General features: G+C 35.3%; 2 annotated features.

The window, feature by feature from the left end:
* Positions 2590-3256: an enhancer, noted in NCBI's record as "OCT4-NANOG-H3K27ac hESC enhancer chr2:157487486-157488152 (GRCh37/hg19 assembly coordinates)". NCBI's record gives its function as "activates a minimal SCP1, AML or CMV promoter by ChIP-STARR-seq in naive and primed H9 embryonic stem cells {active_cell/tissue: H9 hESC(naive and primed)}" and the evidence as "EXISTENCE:reporter gene assay evidence [ECO:0000049][PMID:30033119]".
* Positions 3257-3924: an enhancer, noted in NCBI's record as "OCT4-NANOG-H3K27ac hESC enhancer chr2:157486818-157487485 (GRCh37/hg19 assembly coordinates)". NCBI's record gives its function as "activates a minimal SCP1, AML or CMV promoter by ChIP-STARR-seq in naive and primed H9 embryonic stem cells {active_cell/tissue: H9 hESC(naive and primed)}" and the evidence as "EXISTENCE:reporter gene assay evidence [ECO:0000049][PMID:30033119]".

Here is a 4722-nt window from a genome sequence, read left to right as displayed (position 1 = left end):
AACTATGATACATATGAAGAGAGCCAGAGACTGGCATCAAAATTGGCTATTGTACATTACGTATCAGGAGGATGCTTCAAAAGGAAGGCATTTGCTGCCACAATATCCAGTTGCCAGTTGAAAAGGTTAATATCCTTTTAAGCAAACTATCCACCAGAGGAAGGAAAAAAAAAAAAGAACTTACTAATAAAATCAATCTGAGCTTCAAAATCAATTTAATACTGTATATTAGGAGGAAACTCTATTCGTTATTTTTAAATATTTAGCTGACAGATTGTTTATCTTCAATCACAGATCTGTATCTGCTGTTTAACTCATAGAACTAAAAATATTCACTTATTTGGCACATTCTCCTGGTGAAATTATTGGCAGAAATTTTAAATTAGGTAGAAATCTTATGTTGAGAATGCAAAAGTGGGTTGGGTGTTTTTTTTTTATTGTTGTTGTTGTTTGTTTCTTCATAATAGGAAGTTTATAAAGACACCAGCAAAGGGTAAAATATAAGTATTGAGAATAGAGGAAATCTAATAATTCTCAGCTTAATAAATCATTTCACAAACCTGTATGTGTATATATTTTTCACTTTAAGAAGCAGGTCTAAGCCAAGAACTTTTGTATTCTTTATACTTAAAAAAATAGCCCTTTAGCTACTTTGAAGTCATATGAATTAAGCAAATGAAAATTACAAAGAGGCATGATTTTTTTGGTGGTTTTCTTATCACCATAGCAAATTGAAGCCCACACATAAATGATCAGAGAGCTGGTTTTCAAGCTTACTGTCTTCAAGAGAAAGACAGATTCTAGCTGTCACTTCAAGAGTCATCTAGTTCACAGCTACCAGCAACAGGTAGCCAGCAACCCTGATGAGGGATAGAAACAGCACCCATAGAGGACCCCTTTCCTAGCAGAATTTTTTGACACCACTCAATCCTAGAGGAATGGCTTCACAGAGCCAAAGACAACTTTAGGGTGACTCAGCTGTCTGTAGGTTTTCTCTAGCAAACCTGGAAGATGTATTTTGCATTTTGTTGTTATCTAAAATAACCAACTCCTTATACTTTGATTGAGATATTGAGATGTCCCATCCTTCCCCCTGTATCCATGCTGGCACTGGTTAATGTAATCTTCATAGGACACAATCCTTAGATATATGTTAGGTTGATTGTTCCTGTAACTTCATGGCACTATTCCATTTACAAAGCACCCACCCATAAAAATGGCAGCTGTTACCCTCTCTCTTTGCCCCTCCTTGAGAGTCCCCTGTCCTTACCATGGGAACTATAAAAGCTTGGCTTTCTTAGAAAATATGTAGATTTAGAATTAGAAAAAGAGAAGACATTATAAAAAATAGAGATAATATTGGGGACTTGACCGAAGCATAGTTAGGCTGATTTCTTTACTGCAGAATTTCTTAGAGCCTTGATCAATTAATGTGCAAAGTTATTGCATGAGGGGGTATTAGAGAAGGAATTGTTTATAAGTCACTGCGCCTACTGGATAGTTCTCTGCTTATAAATTGTATCAGCCCATATACACGTGATATTGTCACATTGATGAAGATACACACCTCACTCCTGCCCTCCATTGCAGTTTTATTTAGGACACAAGCATCTTTTTAAAAGCCAGATACTTGGGGAGGGTAAGGAGATTGATTGGTCATATTTTATACCTTTATGTGGTTTACTTGGAGAAGTTCTCATTGTGTGAAATTACACTGGTATGCTGAACTACACCAGTCTTCTTTTAGAAGGAAAGGGGAGAAGATGGTTTTAGAGCACTGTGCAGTTGGATGGGTACATTTGTGGGTGGAGGAGCAGCAGGAGGGACTGGGGGCATGGGGAGGTAAGAACTGTGTGTGTGGCTTTGTTTTTCTTGGGTTGGATTAACTTGGGTTGGAGTTTGTGGGGGAAGTGATAGGAGAGTAAATATAAAACCTAACTCTGCTTATTTCATAAATAGGCATATTTTCCACAAATATATCCATCTTTTTCTCATACAACAAACATTCTGACTCTCAAAATTTTAGCTAATTGAATTATAGGATCCCCAAATTCAAAGTTTAGCTACATTTGGGTTAAATATACTAAAGATGGCAAATGAGACCCTAATTTTCATTTTTTTGAAATATTATATCTTTATTTATGGCATATAAACAAAAACAAAACCTTTTCCCAAAAGGCTACATAAACACCTTACTTCAAGTATTATAAAACATGTTATTATATCTTTTCCCTGATTTGACTTAGTTTCAATAAATATTTTGTTGGAAAACCATTTTTCCCCAACTATAATAATGATGCAAACTCATTATAGAAAACTGGGAAGCTATAAACATGTTTAAAGTTGAAACTGAAAATCACCTAGCATTTCTTTCTATGACAAAAGATCTTCTAAATTTCAAAACATGAACTTATAGGTAGGTGCACTTTTCCAATATAATCTATTGTAATATGTAGTCTACTTGTTTTTTTTCCACTCAGAGTCATTTTTCCCAAACTCAAGTAACAAATCCATCCTCCTAAGTGTGGGAATATAATTACTAGTCAGAGAGTTGTGCATCTGAAAAGTTTATATTAGCATTTTTCATTTGGAAAGCTCAAGCTATTGCCAAAGTTCAAAAGACATGAAGCTCCAGAAATATTTAGTATCTTGTCTATCAGATTACAATAATATCTTGAGACAATACTATATAATGATACTCTAGCTTAAGTAAAAACAAACTAAACTAAAAACTTCATTATAGGCAGTTATAATATTGATAATTGGAGCTGATTCTATTAAGGGGCAACCCTCCTCCCCAGTCAACACAAAATGCATGTTGCTTGTTAGAAGACTGTGTTGACTATATTTTCTTATTTTCTGTATTCCTGATGCTCTGGCATCTGGGGTCTCTCTAACTGGGCAGAGACTGCCCTCTCTCCCTAAGGACAGCCAATTCATAGAGATTAGCAAATGACTAACCTTGGAGCACAGCTTTCACTTGCAAATTCACCAATCCAAAGCCCACAACTCCCCCACACCTCTTCTATTTGGCTCTTAAACTCCAGGCCAATATTCCCCTATCCTAATCACTGCAAGGCCAGTTACCAAACAACTCAGGACAGCCTCCTACCCCAAAACCCACTGAAATTATTCAAACAAACTCATCATCATAAACCTGCTTACCCTGCCTCACCCATTCTTTCTTGCAGAAACCACAATAATGCCTCTTGCCCATGCTTTCCTCCCACTCCGTCTGCCTCCTGACTGCCCTGGTGCTTCCCCTTGAGGACCTGCATGGAGTTCTGTGCCCCATTCTCTTGAGAACTGTGAATAACAACTGTTTTTTCAATGACAATTGTCTCCTGATCTGTTAGTGTCAGCATACCTGAATAATAGCAAAACACAGTTTAAAACAAAGACTTTAAATTCATGCCAATTAGTGAACACATAAGGTTGTTTTCAATTCAAAATGCCTAGAAATAATAAGAGGGTGATGTACACATCTGTAGATGGAGGTCAAATTCACCCTTTTTTTCAAGTACCTCTTATTGCAATAAAATATTAGGATGTATGAAAATTTCAATCCTTTACCAGGATAGCTACACACTATGAGGTCTGAGCTGTAATGCCCTTATTGGTGAAATGAGGGATTTGAACTAGATAATCTCCCTAAGTCCTTCTAGATAGAGCATATAATCTCTTAGTGTTTCTGCTAATGTATTTTTATTAACAAAATCCCCTTTGTTAGATGACTCCACCCAATCTAAAGCACAGTGGGAATGTTATTTCTCTATTGCCAATGCACTTGAATTTCTCCATGGCAGTTACTGGGTTTTACTAATTCTTCTATTTCTTACCCCTATTATGGTCTAACAGCAGAAGCTCAACAACAAGAAACACAACGACTGACTGAATCAAATTACAGTGAGCTTCATATTGGGTAGAAATAGATAGACATGAGAATAAGATTATGAAAACTGTCATTTTCACTGAAGGCTTGAATAAGAAAACTCTACACCCAAATACTTAATCCAAGTCTTTTTTGCTAATGAATGATTGGATACTTGTAAAATGAAAGAATCAGTCAACTGTCACTAGAAATATTCTCAACAACTAAGATAAGTCAAATGAAAAGCTTTTTAGGGATTTTTATTTCTGGTTGCTTTAGGGTTTTTTGGGTTTTTCTCAACATGACTGTTATTGGTTTGCAGTATTATTTCAGAGACTGATTTGAAATTTTTTTATCCACTAAAAATCAACAATTGGCATTTTTAATTTTATAGAAAAATGAAAAAAGTATTAATCTGCAGCCATGCCAAAAAGGCAAACAAAAAGAGCAGCTTTTAATTAAATCTAAGGGATAGAAGTCTTAGTACATTTTTCATTTCTCTCTTCATTCCTCTCCCAGCCACTAGCTGAATGTTGCATTGTAACTGTTCCTCTCCTGATTTACATTTTTCTCTCTTCAGAAGGAAGAATATTAAAAGTCACAATAATATACATTTTAGAAGAAAATTTTAATTACTAATTCATAAGAAGTAATATTCATGTGCCAAGTATGTTACATGATCTAAATTAAAATACTAAGTTGAATTTGCTCTGGGGGATTTTAATACCAGGTAATATAGGTAAAAGGATATGTGGATGTTTTTGATGTCCTGTAAGATAAAATTCTGAGTTTCAACAGGTAAATACATTTCAGTAACTGAATAAGGGGCCCTCTGTAATCTTCATTTTGGG

This window comes from Homo sapiens, chromosome 2 (assembly GCF_000001405.40).
Source record: "Homo sapiens chromosome 2, GRCh38.p14 Primary Assembly".
NCBI classification, from domain to species: Eukaryota; Metazoa; Chordata; class Mammalia; order Primates; family Hominidae; genus Homo; species Homo sapiens.
This window is presented reverse-complemented; position numbering and strand designations above follow the sequence as displayed.